The sequence below is a fragment of the Homo sapiens genome, chromosome 1, assembly GCF_000001405.40.
Source record: "Homo sapiens chromosome 1, GRCh38.p14 Primary Assembly".
Taxonomy (NCBI): Eukaryota; Metazoa; Chordata; class Mammalia; order Primates; family Hominidae; genus Homo; species Homo sapiens.
The window spans coordinates 200,047,153-200,070,491 of NC_000001.11; the positions used below are offsets into that span (position 1 = coordinate 200,047,153).

Consider the following 23,339-nt stretch of genomic DNA (forward strand, 5'->3'; position numbering starts at 1 on the left):
GACTTAGAGGGAACTGCTAACTAACTTATTAGTCATGGCCGCAGACTCCACACACCACTGTCGCAGAAGACTCTCTTGACAGCTTCTGAAATGAATTTGTTTTAATTATGTCCAATTCTACTTAAATTAAAAGCAGTAACTGGTGGTCATCTGATGTGGGCTCATCAAGTCCAGGTGAACATGATTTTCCAAGAACATGTCCCCACCCCTTTTGTTATTGCAACAAGGTGGCCAAAATGGCTTTCAGGGAGGAAGGTATCTTGTGGGAAAGTATTCACAATTTAATCCAAAATTGGGTAACTCAGTTCCACACCCCTGCAAAAGAAAACCCCAAAGCAGTTTGGGTTTCCATAAGGAACTGGCATAATAAAAGCATATACTCTTAGTAGAACGACTGATACTCTTTCTTAGCAATGTGAAATATTTCTTTTCTTTTTTTTGAGACAGGGGTTTCACTCTTGTTGCCCAGGCTGGAGTGCAGTGGTGTGATCTTGGCTCACTGCAACCTCCACTTCCCGGGTTCAAGCGATTCTCCTGTCTCAGCCTCCTGAATAGCTGGGATTACAGGCACCCACCACTACGCCTGGCTAATTTTTTGTATCTTTAGTAGAGATGGGGTTTCATCATGTTGGCCAGGCTGGTCTTGAACTCCTGACCTCAGGTGATCCACCCGCCTTGGCCTCCCAAAGTGCAGGGATTACAGGTGTGAGCCACCGCACCACGCCTATGTGAAATATTTCTATGTCTAACAAAAATTATGAACTCTCCTCCATCCACAAAAGGGTTAATATGTCCCTATGTGGCCAAAGTATTTTTTTGATGACGACACACACTTGGAGGAAGGAATTCATAAATAAAGAGGACATGGTTTTTTGGGAAATCTTTGTGGGCTATTGTAACGAAAACAACCACACACATACCACTTCTTGTCGATTTACATTTCTAAATATCTGAAGAATGCTAATAATTTGCACCTTATTTATACCTTTCCTTCCTTCCCCCCACCCCACCCCCAACAGCTGTAAGGGCCGACCGAATGCGTGGAGGAAGGAATAAGTTTGGGCCAATGTACAAGAGAGACAGGGCCCTGAAGCAACAGAAAAAAGCCCTCATCCGAGCCAATGGACTTAAGCTAGAAGCCATGTCTCAGGTGATCCAAGCTATGCCCTCTGACCTGACCATTTCCTCTGCAATTCAAAACATCCACTCTGCCTCCAAAGGCCTACCTCTGAACCATGCTGCCTTGCCTCCTACAGACTATGACAGAAGTCCCTTTGTAACATCCCCCATTAGCATGACAATGCCCCCTCACGGCAGCCTGCAAGGTTACCAAACATATGGCCACTTTCCTAGCCGGGCCATCAAGTCTGAGTACCCAGACCCCTATACCAGCTCACCCGAGTCCATAATGGGCTATTCATATATGGATAGTTACCAGACGAGCTCTCCAGCAAGCATCCCACATCTGATACTGGAACTTTTGAAGTGTGAGCCAGATGAGCCTCAAGTCCAGGCTAAAATCATGGCCTATTTGCAGCAAGAGCAGGCTAACCGAAGCAAGCACGAAAAGCTGAGCACCTTTGGGCTTATGTGCAAAATGGCAGATCAAACTCTCTTCTCCATTGTCGAGTGGGCCAGGAGTAGTATCTTCTTCAGAGAACTTAAGGTATGCCACCAGCTATTACAACTTACAGCACCCCTTTTAAGAGAGACCTAACTATGTTCCTAATTAATACATTCTTGGTGCTGAAAATATGTGTTCCTTAATTTTCTACTTTGTATGATTTACAGAGTAGACGTAATTTTATTACCTTGACTTCAGGACTGTGGCAGCTTAAATTTATGGGGCTTTGATTTTGTGTAGCTCTTAGTTTGGGGGGGCTGGCATTTAACATAAAGTATAGGAAACTCGGGCTTTTTTTTCTAAATAGTAGAATATCTGTATTCCTTTTAATTCAGATGGTTTGTGGCTTAAAACATTTCAAGTCAATGTGAAATAGCGCCTAGTAAACTATTTTTCTTGAAAATTACCATGTAAAGAGCTATATTATAATGGTGTCATCTTGAAGGTTTCTTTTGAAGGAAAAAATGCCAACATTTAGTAGTGTTTAGACTCTAAGGAATGAAAATGATACCACTGGTTAGTAGTATCAAGTAGGTATTTACTACTGTTTGCCTTGACATTAGGTTGGTAAAGCCTTTGTTTTCGTAGCAGATTCCAATAGGATGTTTACTGTCATTGGATGGGGAATGGGCAAATGGTGAGTGCTAGTTTACTTGGTTTGGGTTGTAGTTCTCATAATCTATGTCTTGTTGATTTTAGTGGACTGGTACATTGTAAACATAGTACTTGTTTGTATAGGGATCTATGTTTAAATTAATAATTATTTTATTTCCTGAAACTTAAGTCTGAATGAATGTGAGAAAGTTATTTAGAAGTTTGGAATCTAAGAGGGGCTACCAAAACACATTTGGTAGTCAGTGGTTTCATTCCTATTTTAAAAGTGAGTCTTGAATTTGATTTCCAAGTATATTTTGTCACAAAATCAATTTCTTCCTTTTGCTGTAACGGGGAGAGATGTGGCTGCTAAATATCTGTGACTTGTGATTACCTAGGACAGGAGATTGATTGTAAAATTTCTGAGAGAAGGAAAATGCAAAGCCGACTTTTAATTTTAAGAGTTACTGTTAAAAATCGTCTGTGTAAGTAGATGGTCTGGGGAATGTGGAAGCCACATGCAAATGGAAAATAATGCTTTCATAGCAGTCTACATTAAGCACTGTTCTTTGTACATGGAAGCAAAAAAGTTACCTGAACAGACCTAAATAAGTTGATAAAATTCCATCAGCACGCTGTTAAGACTGTGGACACATCCAGCTCTTTATTTCCACGTCCTTTATTGCTACGCTTAAAAATGGCTGAAGGATATCTCAGGCTGCAAAGGGCAAGCAGAATGCACTGCGTTAGCACAATTAGGCCAGATATTTTCCGAGTATGTGTTAGGGTTTGTAACCACTCTATGATAATCAGAACATTTTTCATGAAAAAACAAACCATGCAAACACTTTCCTGATATTCTTACATTCAAAACTGTGTCCTTAATCAAACAGGTAAAGTATTTGAAAATGAAAATTAAAATGATAATTTTAGATACTGTCGAAAGGTTAGGTAATGTAAAAATGAGGAAAACACAGACTTTTTACAATCAAATGAACTGCTTAATAATTATGTCTTCATAGGCAGGTTGTTAGATTCTCTGAGCCTTGGTTTTTCTCATGTGTAACTTGTATATGTGGTGTTTGTGGAGGAGTATTGGGAGCACAGATGTAACTACTTATATTGAGGAGGTTTTCAAAGGAAAATGAGAATATGCAGATAAAGCACCCAGTACCGGGAGTCTGGCATATACTACATACTCAGTAAAGTGTGGTGCTGTTTTAAATTGATATTACTGGGGCCGGGTGCAGTGGCTCATGCCTGTAATCCCAGCACTTTGGGAGGCCAAGGCGGGCGGATCACCTGAGGTCAGGAGTACGAGACCAGCCTGACCAATATGGAGAAACCCCGTCTCTACTAAAAATACAAAAAATTAGCCGGGCTTGGTGGCACATGCCTGTAATCCCAGCTTCTAGGGAGGCTGAGACAGGAGAATTGCTTGAACCTGGGAGGCGGAGGTTGCGGTGAGCCGAGATCTTGCCATTGCACTCGAGCCTGGGTGACAAGAGCGAAACTCCATCTCAAAAATAAATAAATAAATAAATTGATGTTATCACTGTTGTTTTATGAAAAATGTGCAGAATCTACATAATTTTTATATTTAGGATCAAAACAATGCAATTATAGTCTCTTAGTTTAACATTGGCAAAAACTATTACATGTGTTATAGAGTAGTATGATTTTGTTATAATTAACAGTTATTAATCAGTACTAATTAAGGACCTAAAATTGGCCAAGGGGTAAGTTGGGTATAAGGTAAAAACAACGTTGAATAAAACAACATGTTTCCTCTCAGAGTTTATAATAAGACAGTTTCATAAATAATTATTTTAAAAAATAAAGACAGCCGCAGAGAATAAAAATATATTTTACAAATCAACAAGGAAAGAAATAATGCATATTATTTTCATGTAAAAAAGGAAACATGAAGTAAATACAGCTAGCGGCTGTAAGGCATTAAGAAGGCTGGGAAAACTTTTTCCACTATTCCTCTCTTTTCCCTCCTCTGTGGATAAATTTTACAGTGACTTCTTTATATAGCATGAGGTTAAATATTTGGCTAAAACATAAATATCTTTGAGAATGGGGCATATAAAAGCATTTTTCAATCAATTACGGTGTTGTTTAATGCATTTATCAGTCTTTCATAGAATACGAAAAAAGGAAAAGGGAAAAAAGTACAAACGTGAGGGTCGTCTACAAGGGGTGGGAGATGTTCCCAGAAGAGAAAGATAATTTTGACCCACTTCACAGTTTGCCTTGGGCTTACTTTGACCAGGAGTGATTCAAGTATTTTTTGGTGAACAAAGAGTAGAATTCAGAAAAACTTAAGGATAGTTTCAGTAGAGAGTTGGGAGGTGACTATTGACATTTGGAAGAATTCCTTTTCCTTTCGTTTATAAATTTACTTTGTCAGAAAGCAAACCAACTCATTTGAAGCCAGGATTGAGACATCTCTAGGGCTGTGGCTTTCAATTTTTTTAATCATGACCCACAGTAGGAAATGTATTTTATGGCAGGACATAGTGTACCAAACACATCACACGGGCGCACACACACAGAGATGCACAAACATACAAACACATACACACAACTAAACCAAAGTTTCACCAGATAGTACATAACCTACAAGCCACGCACTCTGATATTTTCTATCTATTCTACTTTAGTCTAATTTATTTCATGTTTTTAAAAAAATTCTGGTCACGACTCACTAAATTGATTTCACGGCCCATTAATGAGGCATGACCTGCAATTCAGGAAAACTTGCTGCTCTAGAGGAGGTTTTATCGGCCATCCATTGGCGTTGCCTACCTGCTACAATTAAGGATAATAACTCCGGAAAAAGGTCTCTTCCTCCTGGCGTGGCCTATAAGACATCTTTGAAACCCACAGCCTGAGTCCCCACCCTATCTTTCTGTAAAGGTTGTAATTTTAAAATATCATTTGGGAAGATAAATGCTCTTTTTTATTCAATTTGATTTTAATTATTTTTGTAGAGACAGGGGTCTCACTCTGCTGCCCAGGCTAGTCTCAAACTCCTAGGCTCAAGCAATCCTCCTGCCTTGGCCTCCTGAAGTGCTGGGATTACAGACAGGAGCCATTGTGCCTGTTTTATTCATTAAATATCTGTCCTTTTCCTTGGTAACTTCACAGCAAATTACCTATCAAGTGATATACTTATTGGACAGATTTTTTATACCTCTAAAACCCAAAGATGAAAAATCACATATTTGCTCCTAATTAGGCAATTTTGAAATGACCTCTTTCTCACTCTCTTTTTTTTTTTGAGACGGAGTCTTGCTTTGTCGCCCAGGTTGGAGTGCAGTGGTGCGATCTTGGCTCATTGCAAGCTCCGCCTCTTGGGTTCACGCCATTCTCCTGCCTCAGCCTCCTGAGTAGCTGGGACTACAGGTGCCTGCCACCACGCCGGCTAATTTTTTGTATTTTTAGTAGAGACGGTGTTTCACCGTGTTAGCCAGGATGGTCTTGATCTCCTGACCTTGCGATCCGCCCGCCTTGGCCTCCCAAAGTTCTGGGATTATAGGCATGAGCCACCGCACCCGGCCTACCTCTTGCTCACTCTCTCAGGACAAATTACACTCTCTACCACATAGGAAAAAAAGAGAATTTCATTTGTTTACTAGTTAAGGGAACAGAAGGGCCAGGAAATTTGGTAGGTTGTTTTGTTTTTCTATACATCTACAAGGTGCAAAAAAAGGTATTCTGGTTTTCATTCAAAAGATTGGAATGAAAAAGAAGAAGTTACAACTCCCCAACTCTCATAGAAACCGTGGAATTTCAGAGCTGGAAGATGAAAGGGAAAAGGGCTAGAGGACACATATAAGCGAGCTGCTTTGTTTTTTTAACACACTTGTAAAGGACAATTCTGGTCTTCATCCAAAATAATGGCTTGAGAAAGATGAAATTAATACTCTGAAACTTGTAGCTTTTGCAACAACAGATGTGCATCAAAAGATACTCATTGCCTAGAAATCACAAGGTTTTTCAGAGCTAGAAGAGATCACTGAGATCATTTGACCCTACCTCTTTTTACATATGAAGAAACTGAGGCAGAAGGGAATGTAATCTGCCCAAGATTATCCAGCTACTGAATGGCAGAACTGGGACTGGTAGATTCAGGTTCAAAGAAGCAGTCCTCTTGTACGCATTCCCTCATCCCCCCCAGCATGCACACGCACACACACACACACACACACACACACACACACACACAAAGAGGCAGTGTAATCTTTGACTCCAAAGAAAACAGTCCTTTGCCAGTGAAGCTAAAGCAAATCTCTAGGTTATCAGAAGCCCATCACTACCATCCAATTACCAAATCACTAATAATCAGTGAGACAGATTTTCCCTGAGTCCAGATGACCCCGTGGGAGTGAATGAGTCACTTTAAAAAGCTACAATAATTCTTTCAGGCCACTGGGGTATCATTCAGTACAGTGGATTCAGCACTTCTGGGCCTTGAGTTTCTGAAGCATTCTCTAGTGCCCTACCCTCTGCGGATAGTTTACTCTCCAGGTGAATCTGGTTCAGTGACGGCATATGGGCTGTGCTCTGCCGTTAAAGCGGCCAAACACGATTATATCCTGTGCTCTACTAGAAGCTGGGCATGTTCAGTATGGGTTTCTTGTTACGTATGCTTGTCGAGATAGCAGAAAAAGAATGCAGGGAGCTCACTTTGGCAGCATATACAATAAAATTGGAAAGATACAGAGATTAGCATGACCCCCTGCACAAAGATGACACAGGCATTCATGAAACTGTCCATAAAAAAGAGAACACAGGATGGTAACCGGGTGATAGGTGAGCCACTAATAAAATTTTCTGATCTTTAAACCAAATCTGTTGAGTGACCTATGCTCTTGACTGTTTCCTTGTGTTTTTAGAAATTAAGAGCTAATTCGAGACTTTTGTATTCTGCTGAAAGAGCTGTCCTTGTGAGTCAAGAAGATTGGCTTTTTTTTTCAGTTATTTTTTTTTTCACCTGTGTCTTGAATATCTCACAAACACAAGAGCAGTGAGAAAATAATTCCCACTTTGTTAAACAACTAATGAATCTGGAGGATCTATTTGATCTTCTAATGAGACCAGATGTCTTAAGAGAATTCTGGGAATGGATATATAAGAACTTCCCCTCGGTGAATGATTCTGATACATGTACGTATTAAAAAAAATCTAAATTAATCCTGACTGAAACTCCCAACTAGCATTTCTGTGGAAAATAGGTCTCAGAGACTCAGGGAGTTTGTGCCAAAGGAATTTAGCCATGCTGAAGTTGGTTTTTAAGTATAGCTTTATCTAAAGCGAGGGCACAAGGGGAGGAGCAAACCTTCTTTTTTCTCTAGCCAATTATGGAAGCTATCTGAGCAGCATTATTTATCTATTTTTAACATTCTAGATCCTTTTTCCTAAATCACAGTTACCTTTCCCAATGCAGGCCTATAATCTCAGACTTTATTGAATCTGCCCCAATTTTAAGCTATATTCTTTAGTAAATTTACTTAGTCCTACTTTTTTTTTTTTAAGACAGGGTCTCTCTCTGTTGCCCAGGCTGGAGTGCAGTGGCATGATCATAGCTCACTGCAGCCTTGACCTTGTGGCCTCAAGCCATCTTCCCACTTTAGCTTCCCAAATAGCTGGGACCACAGGCGCATGCAACCACGCTAGCTAATTTTTTATTTTTTGTGGAGATGGGATCTTGCGACGTTGCCCAGGCTGGTCTGGAACTCCTGGGTTCAAGCAGTCCTCCTACCTTGGCCTCCCAAAGTGCTGGAATTAAGGCATAACCCACTGTGCCTGGCAGCCCTACTTTTTTTTTTTTGTGACGGAGTTTCACTCTTGTTGCCCAGGCTGGAGTGCAATGGTGCAATCTCAGCTCACTGCAACCTCCACCTCCCAGGTTCAAGTGATTCTCCTGCCTCAGCCTCCCGAGTAGCTGGGATTATAGCGCCTGCCACCACGCCTGGTTTATTTTTGTATGTTTTAGTAGAGATGGGGTTTCTCCATGTTGGTCAGGCTGGTCTCAAACTCCTGACCTCAGGTGATCCACTAGCCTCGGCATCCCAAAGTTTACAGGCGTGAACCACTGTGCCCAGCCAGCCCTACTTTTCTATGGGAGAGAAAGAGAAACTGAGAGAGAGGATCCTGCTCGGTGTCTACCACATTTACTTGCCATATGGCTGTTCTTTGCCTTCTCCTGAGAGTTGGGGTCAGGAATCATGGGTCCAACACGAGCACTCCTCATTGCCATGTGATGTCACAGAGCAATAGCCACTTTACTTACCTTTGTTTTCACTTCTCTGGATGCAAAGTAGCTAATCTGGGAAGCACAAGGATGACACAAAGAAAATAAACATTAAAGTTTGTTTTCCAGTCAAATTTTTCAATGAATGAAAATTTTCCAATCAAAATTTGATCTCAAGGCACATTAAGCCATCTATTGCCAGTTCTCATACTCATCACAAAGTTGCCAGAATGAAATAAATCGAACCTGCATAGGTTTACAAGGAAATGATAAAACTGGTTTTTCTTCCGCTGAAGGTAGATATGAAAGTGTTCTGTCTTTGTGAATTTGGAGAGAATGTTGGAATCAGCAGGTTTGATTCATGGTCTCTAAGGTCTCTTCAGGTGTTAAGCATCTGCTTTTATATCTTTTTCCAAGCAGACCTGAAACAGAAGGCTTTGGTGTGGCTGATAGTGTTGGATGAGAATTTATGTTATTTCAGCCTTTCTTGCTTACATACGTATATTGCATGTGTCTATTGTAGACTCAGAAAGCCATTATCTTTCTTCTTGCTTTCTTCTGAGCTTTCTTCTTGCTCACAATTCACTGAAAGAATCAGCTCTTCTCAGTCAATGCCTGTTTGTGCTATGGCCAACTCACTGTGGGGCAGTGGAACATGCCCACTTACTGTGGGGATGTGTATTGTTCTTTACTGGGATATCTTGAAAGTACACCAGTCACCTCAAAACTCCCATGCATTAGTTACTTCTACTAAGGTAAAATTTACTCTCCCTAAAATTTACTGTTTTTAATGTACAAATGATAAAACAGCTCTTTCACACTTTAAAATTCTCTTGTGTCCCTTTGTAATAAACTCCTCTCCCCACCCCAGTCCCTGCCAATCCTGATCTGTTTTTGTCCTTAGAGTTTTTTTTGTTACTTTTAAAAAGAAGTAAATTTGCTTTATTCGTTGAGTATACATTTACAAACTGCAAACTCAGTTTAAGCTCCCTGAAACTTATGGTTTCAGCGTAGTTGAGCACTAATAGTTTCCATGGAAACATATCCTCCATGGGGCGCTGGGATATTTGGTAAGAGAGTAGTGATGATCATAACTTCACACTGGGTCTGCTTGTTCACATGTCTTATGAGCGTCCTGTTCGTATTAACCTGTATGTTATCTACTGGAACCATGGGGAGAACATGAGAATAGCGAGGCACACCCAAGAAATCCATGTTTAACTAGCTTGGCCATCGTCAGGTGTCTGAATCTGAACAGTGAGAGTAGGACCACACTGCTACCGCATACCTGACTGCCTCATTCTGTGTCCCTCCTGTTCGATATAGTCTGGTTTTGCAAACTGAGGCTTAAGCCTCGGCAGCCAAGAGCAAGCCCTTGTTCCTGTTCTGATGAGGATGTACTGAATTATTTTGTATTCAGTTTCCTACGATGACCTTCTCTAATTACACAAAAGAAAACATAATGAATTTACATATCTTTGGGTCAATTTATGAAAAACCATTCTTTTCAGTAATACAAGTCCTTTAAGACCTGTTGGAAAATGGTACAGACGTGAGCATTTTCCTTGCTCTGCTCTAGGTCATATGGTAAAGGAGAAGAGAAGTAACTTTTCTTGGGTACCCACTAAGCACCTACTCTAGTGCTAGGTGCTTTCAGGCCATTTTCTAGTTTGATCTTTAGGACAGTCCAGTGATGAGAGCACAGTGTATGGTCATTTGGTCAGAGTGGGAGTAAAAGACCATCGCTCTCGTATAACATGTTCTCTGTGGAGGATACGTCCGTCAGTCATAATGACTCATAGAGATGTCAAGTTAATTGATTCGTAAAAGTTTGCTAAATCAATTTTTTTTCTTTTTTTTTGAGACAGGGTCTCACTCTGTCGCCCAGTCTGGAGTGCAGTGGCACGATCTTGGCTCATGGCAACCTCCACCTCCTGCATTCAAGTGATTCGCCTGCCTCAGCCTCCCGAGTAGCTGGGATTACAGGCGTGCACCACAACACCCATCTAATTTTTGTATTTTTAGTAGAGATGGGATTTTGCCATGTTGGCCAGGCTGGTCTCAAAACTCCTGACCTCAGGGTGATCTGCCTGCCTCGGCCTCCCAAAGTGCTGGGATTATGGGCATGAGCCACTGCGCCTGGCCGTAATTGTGCTTTTTTTTCCTTTTTTCTTTTTTTGAGATGGAGTTACACTCTTGTTGCCTGGGCTGGGGTGCAATGGCACAGTCTCGGCTCACTGCAACCTCCACCTCCTGGGTTCCAGCAATTCTCCTGCCTCAGCCTCCCGAGTAGCTGGGATTACAGGCATGCGCCACCATGCCTAGCTAATTTTCGTATTATTAGTAGAAACAAGGTTTCACCATGTCAGCCAGGCTGGTCTCAAACTCCTGACCTCAGATGATCCACCCGCCTTGGCCTCCCAAAGTGCTGGGATTACAGATGTGAGCCACCACGCTCAGCCAAATTGTACTTTCAGTAAAGTACTTTACTGTTTACAAAGAACTTCCATATACATTTTTTTGGTCCTGGTCTCTGTCTTTCATTTTGGGAGCATGGATGTAACTGGCCTTTCATCAATGGTTCAGTAGTGTTGTTTTTTAAAGCCTACAACAGAACCATCTCCTATGAATTGACTATCACCTGTCTAAATGCCCTGTTTACAGCATGTTGTACCTGCAAGAGCAGGATATTTAAAGTACTTTATAATTGATAATTGCCATTATCAATATGCTCACCTCTTTACCATATTCCAACAGGTCTTAAAGGACTTGTATTATTTTTTACCGAAGAGAGTGGTTTTTCGTAAGTTTACCCGAAGATACATACATTTATTATGTTGGTTTTTTGTTTTTTTTTGTTTTTGAGACAGAGTCGCACTCTGTTGCCCGGGCTGGAATGCAGTGTCGCAATCTCAGCTCACTGCAGCCTCCGCCTTCCCGGTTCAAGCGATTCTCCTCCGTCAACCTCCCGAGTAGCTGAGATCAGGCACACGCCACCATGCCCTGCTAATTTTTGTATTTTTAGTAGAGGCGGGGTTTCACCACGTTGGCCAGGCTGGTCTCAAACTCTTGACCTCAGGTGATCCACCTGCCTCGGCCTCCCAAAGTGCTGGGATTACAAGCATGAACCACCGCGCTGGGCTGGGTTTTGTTTTTTGTTTTTGTTTTTTTTTTTCATATTAGAGGAGGCCCAGACAGGTGCGGTGGCTCATGCCTGTGATCCCAGCACTTTAGGAGGCCGAGGTGGGAGGATCACCTGAGGTCAGGAGTTCGAGACCAGCCTGGCCAACATGGTGAAACCCCTTCTCTACAAAAATTATGAAAATTAGCCCGGCGTGGTGGCACTTGCCTATAATCCCAGCTACTTGGGAGGCTGAGGTAGGAGAATCACTTGACCTCAGGAGGCGGAGGTTGCAGTAAGCCAAGATCGCACTACTGCACTCCAGCCTGGGCGGCAGAGTGAGACTTTGTCTTAAAAATAATAATAATAATAATTAGAGGAGACCATCGTAGGAAACTGAAGACAAAATAATTCAGTATGTCCCCATCAGAACAGGAACAGGGTCTTGTTGGTTGCAGAGACTTCAGCCTCATTTTGCAAAACCAGGCTATATATAATTGGAGGGGCACAGAATGAGGCAGTCAGGTATGCATTAGCAGTGAGGTCCTCCCCAGCTTGTGAATACCTGGGTAGGCTTACCTTATCTCCCAACCTCCCAGTGCTCGGCACTGGTTCCTACTGAACAATCGGTAGAAGCAATTTTGTCAGCTTGTCTGCCTAGAAGTAGCCACATGCTTGTTTGCTGAGAATAATTAGGGTCCCTGCTTATTCCAGTACTTATGCTTTTCCAGCAGGCACACAGATTGCTCACAGATCTTATGGAAAGGCTGCCAGTGTTACTTCCTCAGTGTTGGGGAGGTAGAGCCCACTAAGCCTGAGCCCCCTGTTCCCTGTCTGCACACTGTCATACAAAGTCACAGAATAAGTTAAACACATACACACATGCACACAAACACACACAGAAAACATGACTCATATGTGACATCCCTCAACACACTTTTGAAGGACTTTGCCCTCTGAACCTATATGGTAAAATAGATCTTTTTTATTTTCCAGGATAAATAAAGAATGATTTTGCTCTGACCTATTCTTCTGCAGCTTGGGAAGTAGATCATACAAATCTTTGAGAGTTCAACATCCATTTGCAGAATGGCTCCATGGAAATTGGCCATTTAAACTATTCTTCACGTTAAAGACATTAAGCTCTAACCCAAGAAAACCACCCACAGCCAAGAACAACAAAAATGACATAAACCACGTCACCTAACCCAGCAGTTAGGTATTTCTTGAATATCTGATACTTAAAACTTAACTCCCCTCTACACCTGTGTCCTCTCCATACAGTAGGCTAACATCAGGCAGCCAGTGGCATGGGCGCCCTGGCTGGCTTCATGGGGCACACTAACCTTGCACATCATTTTCTTTATCTTCTCCTCTCTCCTCCTTGTCCACTTTTCTTCTGTCCCAATTCGCTTTTTCTTTTCTTACTTCATTAACTCTTTTTCCTTTCCTTCTAATACCTCAGGAAGCACGCTTAGGCATTACCTTGTCCTCAGCTGCATCTTCATTTACCCTTCAGGTGAAATGTGGTTGAGCAAGGAAGGCAACTCGTTCCCTACAAGTCTGAGAATGGGTGGAGCAGGCAAGAGAAACGGTTAAATAGACCCCAGAGAAGGGCTGCAGTTAATGATAATAGGATTTCTATCTGTCCTTCCACTGTACCAAGTGACTTCCACACAGTGGCATTTTCCAAGGGTGAGTGCAGAGGGAGTAGCTGCTCAGCTTGGATGGGTATGGGCAGGAGAGGTTACTGAGGCTGCAGGCTTAGCAAGGTGAGTATGCATGGATCCCACGAAGTCAATGCAAAAGCAATTTGAAAATCCCTGCTTTTCAAATAGGTGTAAGGGTTTCTGTCCATGACAAGGCTGTTCTACTTCAGTCTTTTAACCATGTATCCACACAGTCCCAGAGATGGTCACTAGTGTCTTCCTCACCTTTAACTTCCTCCTTGGAAATAATTTTCACATGCTACGTTCTTGACCTACCAGGACAAATTCTATGAATTCTTCACGTATGTGTCCTGGGAAGGAATAGCCAAAAGCTTTGACAAGAATAACTAAGTCTGGGCTGGGTGTGATGGCTCATGCCTGTAATCCCAACACTTTGGGAGGCCAAGGCAGGTGGATCACGAGGTCAGGAGTTCGAGACCATCCTGGCCAAGATGGTGAAACCCCATCTCTACTAAAAAAAAAAAAAAAAAAAAAAATACAAAAATTAGCCTGGCATGGCAGCGGCCACCTGTAATCCCAGCTATTCAGGAGGCTGAGGCAGGATAATTGGTCGAACCCAGGAGGCGAAGGTTGCAGTGAGCCAAGATTTGCGCCACTGTGCTCTAGCCTGGCCAACAGAGCAAAACTCCGTCTCAAAAAAAAAAAAAAAAAAAAAATTAAGTCTGAAGTACCCAGGACTTGTTGAAATGCTGCCTGATCATTTCTCTCAGAAAACTAACAGAAAACCACATTATTTTGAATATTTGGAAATGTCAATGTCACTCAGAGTGCACAACATTCGGGATTAACTTTTTTTTTTTTTTTTTTTGGAGACAGAGTTTTGCTCTTGTTGCCCAGGCTGGAGTGTAATGGCGTGATCTTGGCTCACTGCAACCTCTGCCTCCAGGGTTCAAGCGATTCTCCTGCTTCAGCCTCCAAAGTAGTTGGAATTACAGGCGTATACCACCATGCCTGGCTAATTTTGTATTTTTAGTAGAGACAAGACTTCTCCATATTGGTCAGGCTGGTCTTGAACTCCCGACCTCAGGTGATCCGCCCACCTCCGCCTCCCAAAGTGCTGGGATTACAGGCGTGAGCCACTGCGCCCGACCCGGGATTAACTTTACAACCAAACTTGATCCAACTTCTAATTCTGTAAGAATACCATTTCTTTACATGACAGATGGAATAATTGGCCAATAGGTCTAAAGTCTGTCCTTTATTGTGCAATAAGAGCCTCGCAAAGGTGGAATGCAACCTGAGATCTTAAGGTCCTGGTCTCTGTCTTTCATTTTTGGGAGCACAGATGTAACTGGCCTTTCATCAATGGTTTAGTAGTGTTCGTTATTAAATTCTATAACAGAACCACCTCCTATGAATTGACTGTCACATGTCTAAATGCCCTGTTTATAGCATGTTTTACCTGAGAGAGCAGGATAATTACTTCATTTAAATTAAAAACATATTTTTATGGGAATGACCCATGGTAGACACTGGATACATGTTGAATTAACGTGCTCAAGACATAAAGGACGGATACAGATTTCTCAATGGTAAAGGCAATATGTAGACATCTTTGCTTTACTTTTAAGCAACATTCCATAGATATTGTCAATAACCTGAAAATTCCCAGAATAATGTTTTAAATGACTTCTTAATTAGCGTTCCTTATTTTCATACAGGCACACTCATATTCATTTGCTAAAAACAATTATCTGCATGCACAAGTTCAGGGTCCCAAATAATTCTCCCTGGCAGATTTTGTGTGTGTGTGTGTGTGTGTGTGTGTGTGTATCTGTGTCCATGTGTGTATCGCAGTGTTTTGAGTGCATATCCTGTTTTCACACACATTCTCTGAAATGTTGGCTCATTCTAAGGGCTGTTGTTTCATTTCGATCACTGTATCCTGTGGACTCTGAAACTGCTACAAATGCTTCTTCACCACACATCTTATCAGCACAGTTGTGTGCCTTTTTGATCTAAAGTTGTGATGAATAAGAGGCTTTACTTGTTGCCTAATTTTTAAAAAACTTACCAAATATTACATTTCCCCTTATAAAATAATGATATAGATTAGTGTTTGTGCAGAAGTGTTGGCAACAGAATTCTTCAAAAGTTTTCCGTTGAGTGATGAAAAGCTGTTATATTATTTTGACTAGCTAATCAAATGTAATTGGGGAGCTTGAAGTGCCTTAGATTTTCCTTGTACAGTTATCAAAGCAGGAAATGTAACTCGCAGAGCTGATGAAAGCCATCTCTCATGGTATTCTTTCAATTATAGATCTTACAGAGCAAATGAAAGAAAAGCTCTACTGCTAAAAACTCAGAGGCTTGAAATGCCCCTTAATGTTAACTGCTGTATTAGCTAGTTAACACATTATTATGTACTTTAATTGATTCTTACTCCAGCTTTGGAGAAAAAAATTATGGATCTGTTTGGCATGTAAATTAAGGTGGGGGGAAGACACCTGAGTGCAATAACAGCACTATTGCTATTAACACTTAGTTCAAGTAACATCAGATACCTGCAGTGTAAACAATGGCCCTGGTTCACTTTGGCGTGTTTTTTTTTTTTTGAGATGGAGTCTCATTCTGTCACCCAGGCTGGAGTGCAGTGTCGCGATTTCGGCTCACTGCAACCCCTGCCTCCCAGGTTCAAGCAATTCTCCTGCCTCAGCCTCCTAAGTAGCTGGGATTACAGGCGCATGCCACCACACCCAGCTAATTTTTGTTTTTTTTTAGTGGAGACAGTGTTTCACCATGTTGGTCAGGCTGGTCTCGAGCTCCTGACCTCATGATCCACCTCCCTCGGCCTCGCAAAGTGCTGGGATTACAGATGTGAGCCACCGCACCCGGCCTAATTTTTGTACTTTTAGTAGAGACGGGGTTTCACCATGTTGGTCAGGCTGGTCTCGAACTCCTGACCTCGTGATCCACCCACCTTGGCCTCCCAAAGTGCTGTAATTACAGGTGTGAGCCACCCCGCCCGGCCTAAAAGCATTACTATGTTGCACTCATCTGTTGGTATTCCTGCTGATGAGTGTTATTGAAGGAGTTTTATTTGACCATTGAGAATTGCTTTTATGAGTTTATCAATGAAGTGTTATAATCTAGTAAAAATAACTTCATTTCAGTCATATTTGGAAGGGTCCAGCTGAGATTTTTAGCTTTTGAAAGGATCAAACCACATTACACCTGCATTTTACTGGGGTGTAGTATTTTTCTTTGTTGTTGAATCACACTCTTAAAGCTGCCCCTAAAACATTTCAGCCATAAATGGGTAGTCCTGACCTAGGATCAGGCCAAATTCAAATTTTATTCACATATTCATTTATTCACTCACACATTCATCAAACATTTATCAAGTTTGTACTGTGTGTCAATCCCTATGCTAAATTGCTGGAGACATGACAGAAGCAAGTGCTGTAATCCCAGCACTTTGGGAGGCTGAGGCAGGAGGATCACCTGAGTTCAGGAGTTCAAGACCAGCCTGGCCAACATGGCAAAACCCCGTCTCTACTAAAAATACAAAAAGTAGCTGGGTATGGTGGCTTATGCCTGTAATCCCAGCAACTCAGGAGTCTGAGGCAGGAGAATTGCTTGAACCTGGGAGGTGGAGGTTACAGTGAGCCAAGATTGCACCATCGCGCTCCAGCCTGGGCGACAGAGCGAGACTCCATCTCAAAAAAAAAAAAAAAGGACGAGAGCCGTCTTCACTTTACAAGTTAAGTCTTCATGGCAGTTTTCTCAATTAAAGTAGAACCCCTCCTGACATTGATGCGGCACTAAACACAATGGCAAACTCTGACCCTGAAATCTTGTGCAAGTACTTGGTTATGACAGCACACTAATAACCCCAGCCCTGTTTACACCAATGTTTAAGATTATGTTTGAACTGGAAAGGACAACTTAATTCCCATAGACAACAAGGTGAGAGTAAGGGAGGGTTCAGGGCGGCATCACTAGGAGAGAACAGCTCGTGTAAAAATACAGAGGCTTTGGCATAGCACTTCTTGGAAACTTCAAGTAATTCCTATGGCTGGAAGGACAAGGATAGGGAAGGGGCAAGGGGTAAAGCTGGACAGGTGAGCAGCTCATTTATACATACGGTTCTAATATGGATTTTATTCAAAGCAAAGGGGAGCCACTGGAAAAACTTAAGCATCGGGGGCCAGAAGGATTGAAAATGTACCAGGGACATATGCCCACCACATAATGTCATGATTTCGGTCCTGGTATAGGATTTTCCTTAATTGCCAGCATTTAGCTTAAAGTGCATTTAAATATTGTTTTGTTTTTAATTTACTATCTAAACTTGTACTAAAGGAGTTGGTATCTTTTATGTCCTTAGTTATTTTTGTTATTGTCTCCAACAGACCTTTTTCCTCTAGGTAAATTTTGGTTATTGATGACATGTATGTATTTGAGGTCCTGGTCCTTGTTTCATATTTAATTTAAAGAAATGTAATGTTTTAAAAATTATTTATTTATTTATTTATTGTAGATATGGGGCCTAGCTATGTTGCCCAGGCTGGTCTCAAACTCCTAGGCTCAAGCAATTCTTCTGCCTCAGCCTCCCGAAGTGTTGGGGTTACAGGCTTGATCCACCATGCCCAGCCTTCAGATTTCTTCAGTATAACATTCTTTTTGACCAGAAAGTTTTCTTTTTCTTTTTTAGTTTTAATTTTTTTATTGTTTTGAGACAGAGTCTCACTCTGTCACACAGGCTGGAGTGCAGTGGTGTGATCTTGGCTCACTGCAACCTCTGCCTGGGTTCAAGTGATTCTCTAGCCTCAGCTTCCTGAGAAGCTGGCACTACAGGTGTGCACCACCACATGCAGTTAACTTTTGTATTTTTAGGAGAGACAGGGTTTCACCATGTTAGCCAGGCTGGTCTCTAACTCCTGACCTCAGGTGATCCACCACCTCGGCCTCCCAAAATGTTGGGATTACAGGCGTGAGCCACCATGCCCAGCCAAGTTTTTCTTTTTAACCTTGAACTGATTTATTGCTGATTATTTCATAGTTATTATTTTAATGACACCAAATCATCCTTCCAGTATATGCACACATCGAGGGGGCAGTCTAGCCCAGTGTGCCTAAAGTGATTCCACACTAGCTTTTTAAAATTACATATTCCCAAATTCTACCCCAGACCTGATGAATTGCTCATCCATTCATATATTTATTAATTCAACATACATTAATTAAGTATCCAGTATGTGTCAAGCCCTGTTCTAGAAGTGGGAAGAAACAAGTGAGGAGGAAGGGAGCAGTTAGAGGGGTTCAGAGAAGACCAATGTGAAGAGCTGACATTTCAGCTGAAATCCAAATAACAAGAAAGAAAACAGCCTTGATAAATCTGGACACACAGCACTACAGGCACAGGAATAGCATATGCAAAAATCCTGAGGTAGAAGCTAGCTTAATATTTTCAAGAAAATAAAGGAAGGTCACTACCTAAAAATCAATGATTGTGGGGGAAATAGGGCTCTTGAAAATGTCAAAAAGTTTGACAAGGTCCAGCTCCTGGAGGGCTTGGATTTTATTGTTTGGAATAGGAAGCCATAGGAGGATTTTAAGCAATGGAGTGATTTCATCGAATTCTCAGTAGAAAAACTATTGCACTGGCTGCAGATGGGAAAAAAGTTGAAGGGAAGCAAGAGAGTATACAGGAGGTCCATCACCCCAGGGGAGAGATGGAGAGATGGTGGCTTAGATCAGGGCAGGAGAATGGAGATGGGGGAGAAGTTGATGGACCCAGGATACATGTTGAGGTAAAGCTGATAGAATTTGCCAAAAAGACTTTGAGAGAAGATGAGGCAGGCAGGACTCAGGTTTTTGGCTTAAGCCTTTGGGAGCCATTTGTGGAGAAGGGGAACCAGACCATCTAGGGGAAAATCCTGCACATGTTCTAAAACTTCCCTAAACAGATAGAGCCAGGTGCCAGAGCCAGTTCTCAGATGTCACCTTTGGGAACTATTCATTTATTCTAATCCTTATTTTTATTCAAGAAGGCACAGCTCGACCACTCCACGCAGATATAAATTCAAGCTCTTCCCAAAGATTTCTCAGGGGTGGGGATCCTCTATACATTCCCTGCCATCTATTTAATTAATTATCTTTTTTTTTTTTTTTTTGAGAGGGAGTCTCACTCTGTCACCCAGGCTGGGGTGCAATGGCACGATCTCGGCTCACAGCAACCTCTGCCTCCTGGGGTCAAGTGATCCTCCTGCCCCAGTCTCCTGAGTAGCAGGAATTACAGGTGCCCACCACCATGCCCAGCTAATTTTTGTATTTTTAGTAGAGACAGGGTTTCACCATGTTGGTCAGGGTGATCTCGAACTTCTGACCTCCAGTGATCTGCCCACCTCGGCCTCGGGATTACAGGCGTGAGCCCCCATGCCTGGCCCCTGCCATCTATTTTAAAGTTTGGCAGTAGTCAAGACATTCTTTTATGTACAACTTAAATCCTTCCTTCTGCATCACGTGTCATTCCCTGTGGACCTGTCAATAGAGATGGAACACGTGGCTACCCCTTGCTTCATCATAACCCTTTACATGATGACTTGCTGAATTGCAGCTATGTGAAAACCTAAAAAATTTAGACATTAGGGAATCTAAATTTATTTCAGTAATTAAGACAGAGGGGTATAACTAAGACTGATCACCTATCTATGCAGCCATAAAAAAGAACGAGATCATGTCTTTTGCAGGAACATGGGTGGGGCTGGAGGCCATTATCCTTAGCAAAGGAACACAGGAACAGAAAACCAAATACCTCATATTCTCACTTATAAGTGGGAGCTCGCTGAGCGCGGTGGCTCACGCCTGTAATCCCAGCACTTTGGGAGGCCAAGGCGGGGAGATCACTTGAGGTTGGGAGTTCAAGACCAGCCTAACCAACATGGAGAAACCCCGTCTCTACTAAAAATACAAAATTAGCCTGGCAGGGTGGCGGGTGCCTGTAATCCCAGCTACTCACGAGGCTGAGGCAGGACAGTTGCTTGAACCTGGGAGGTGGAGGTTGCTGTGAGCTGTGATCGTGCCATTGCACTCCAGCCTGGGCAACAAGAGTGAAACTCTGTCTCAAAGAAGAAGTGGGAGCTAAATGATGAGAACTCACGAACACAAGGGAACAACAGACACGAGTCTGCTTGGGGCTGGAGGGTGGGAGGAGGGAGACAGCAGAAAAGATAACTACAGGGTGCTGGACTTAATACCTGGGTGATAAAATAATCTGTACAACAGACCCCCATGACAAGAGTTCACCTAGGTAACAAACCTTCACATGTACCCCCGAACCTAAAATAAATGTTTAAAAACACACAAAAAAGACTAAGTGCCTATGCAGACACCAGTGTGCAAATTCAGTTGGCTACGTATGCAGAGAAATAATGGCTGAGAACATTTAGTGCTTCCTCCCTTGAAGTTCCTGATTCTGAGGTTGGCTCTGAGCTCAGGAAACTTTGCACTCCTTGTATTTAAAGTGTGAAATATTACCTTTAAAGGTATTTTTCTCCTTCAGTATGAAACCTATAGATGAATTTCATCCGATGTTTGCATCAGTGTCTTGGCATAGACCCAATTTGTTTTCCTTTGTTGTCCTTTTTATGAGGGTAAAGTTGCTAGTTATTTTAAATATTTTTTGTAAGCTTTATCTTCAATTCTTTAATGATCTTTGTTGCTTTTTAAAGAACTCTTTCAACTTTCTTTTCTATAGTAGCACAAGAATCCAAGCTATAGTCTTTCCAAGGCTTCTCTCCTCCTGGGGCAGAGCAGTGTCAGGGTTTGGATTAGAAATCAAATCCAGGGATTTATCTACAAAATTACAGATGAGCATAAATATGTCATACATATCAGAATCAATAACCCTGCTAATAGCAATGAGTGTTTCATCTATTATAATTCTTCAGTCTCCCAATATTCCAACAGGACTTAGTTTCCCACTACTTCGAAACTTACTTAATTTACTTCTAGTCATTTGGAAAAAAAAATTGATAATATTTTGTCTGATATCTTTGAAGTTGAAAAGGCTTCTTGCCAGTTTACTTATTAGCCCAAGTCAGTGGTCCCTTGCAGCAGAGATTAATCCCAGCTTTGCGGACTCTAAATTTTATACAATTTAGGAAGCGCTCAGTGAAAAAGACCACAAAAATCTCTTTCTTTTGCACATTTTACAAAAACATTAGACCTGGAGCATACACATTGCTTGAGTCCCTCAAAAAGCCATGGGATTTTCTGTGCAAGTAAAGGCTGCTGAAGCTGAAGCTCATTAGTTTCAGGTAAATCTGCTTCCGATTTGCAGTTCTGCTAAGGTATTTCTTGTGTAGAATATCATTTGGGCTAGGAGGAGGTAGAAATAAAGATAGAAATCTACACAGATGATGATATTTTAAAATTTGGTAAAATAGGATTTAAGTCTATACTACCCAAACTGACTGAAAATAAATATTAACCCCAGACATCTGTAGTGAGTTTTTCTTTCTAAAAATAATTTCTCATTGACCCAGGGACTATCAAGAAAGTCATGCCTGGAGACTAAAGAAGTAATTTTTCTCTGAGCTAAGTTCAGCATTTATAGCCTCATTAGACACTCTGTGGTTATTCAGTCTTAAGCATTCCACCTTCTCCTAAGCTCACCTAGACTAGCTGATACCAGGCATAGTCCCATTAGTTCAATTTCACTCTCCTTACCCTAAGAAATTTTTAATATGTATATCAAACAAATTTAAATGGAAAATGCTGTAAGTTCTCTTTTAGTTCTGATGAAGAATTTATAAACAATTCATATTCTTTTTTTTTTTCTTTTGAGATGGAGTTTTGCTCTTGTCACCCAGGCTGGAGTGCAATGGCATGATCTCAGCTCACTGCAACCTCCACCTCCTGAGTTCAAGCAATTCTCCTGCCTCAGCCTCCTGAGTAACACGGATTATAGGCATGCACCACCATGCTTGGCTAATTTTTGTATTTTTAGTAGAGACGGAGTTTCACCATATTGGTCAGGCCAGTCTCAAACCTCAAATGATCCACCCACCTCAGCCTTCCAAAGTGCTGGGATTACAGGCGTGAGCCACCACACTTGGCCAAACAATTCATATTCTACAATAGCAATATAGTATTGCATATAGATACAAGTTTTACTATTATCTAATTAGGAAACTGTGGGGTTTCCTATGGTAAGATTATAAAGTATGTCATAAAGGTTTTGGAGGTCCTCATACTGCAGAAATTTAATTTTTCTATTCGTAAAAGGAATCACATTAAAAACTACTAAATTATCTTACATTTCCTATTTGATTTTATTTACCCAGTCTTGCCCTTCATGCCAAAGTAAAAAGATTAGAATTCTTAAGTGACTAATTAAGAGGAACATTGGAAAACATAATCTCTAATTATGTCTCAATATTACACGTGTCCATGAATAGTTATCTCTAAGATGAACTCCATTTGGCTTTAAAATAGGATGTTAGAGATATTTTTATGAAAAGTTTGCTCTCCAGAGCTGTAAGTTCAACATAAATTTGGAAGGCTAAGGGAAAGTTTTTTTTTTTTAAGTCGTCTTTATTCACTTCTAATTTTGCCCGAAAAATAAAGTGACATCCTTAAGTACTTTTCATTTGTGAGGTAGTTTGACTGATATAAATTGTGCAGGGTAGTAGTTTTGTATACAGTTGGTTTTAGGTAATTTTTCCCAGGCATCTACTTTCCTGTTCATAATAAGCTGTCAGTATATGTTAGTTAAATGAATGGATGGCAGAGCCCCTTTGTGCATTTGCTGTGGGCTTCGGCTTTCTCGGTCTTTTGGTTTGAGGAATAGTTAAGGCACACAGAGAAGGTAGCCTAGCAAATCTTATAAGCCAGTCATATTTGGGAGTGTCTGAGGATTTTTATTTTTAAATCATCTACAAGTCAAGAATATATACTTTAAATGAAATGATCAGCCAGGTGCTGTGGATCACACCTGTAATCCCAGCACTTTGGGATGCCGAATTAGGAGGATCACTTGAGCCTAAGACAAGGAGT

At 41.4% G+C, this 23,339-nt stretch overlaps 1 protein-coding gene and 1 pseudogene across 9 annotated transcripts in view, besides 1 other annotated feature; both read left to right on the forward strand.

Moving 5' to 3' along the window:
* NR5A2 (nuclear receptor subfamily 5 group A member 2) overlaps positions 1 to 23,339 on the forward strand; it is a 149,706-nt gene that overhangs the window by 19,443 nt on the left and 106,924 nt on the right. For all 9 annotated transcript variants that reach the window (NM_205860.3, NM_003822.5, XM_047416753.1 and 6 more), the window contains one exon: positions 1,020 to 1,666. In NM_205860.3, the coding sequence (NP_995582.1) occupies positions 1,020 to 1,666 (647 nt within the window). The remainder of the gene's footprint in view (positions 1 to 1,019; positions 1,667 to 23,339) is intronic.
* Positions 1,108 to 2,047: an enhancer, noted in NCBI's record as "OCT4-NANOG-H3K27ac hESC enhancer chr1:200017388-200018327 (GRCh37/hg19 assembly coordinates)". NCBI's record gives its function as "activates a minimal SCP1, AML or CMV promoter by ChIP-STARR-seq in naive H9 embryonic stem cells {active_cell/tissue: H9 hESC(naive)}" and the evidence as "EXISTENCE:reporter gene assay evidence [ECO:0000049][PMID:30033119]".
* RNU6-570P (RNA, U6 small nuclear 570, pseudogene) lies at positions 6,909 to 7,013 on the forward strand (annotated as a pseudogene).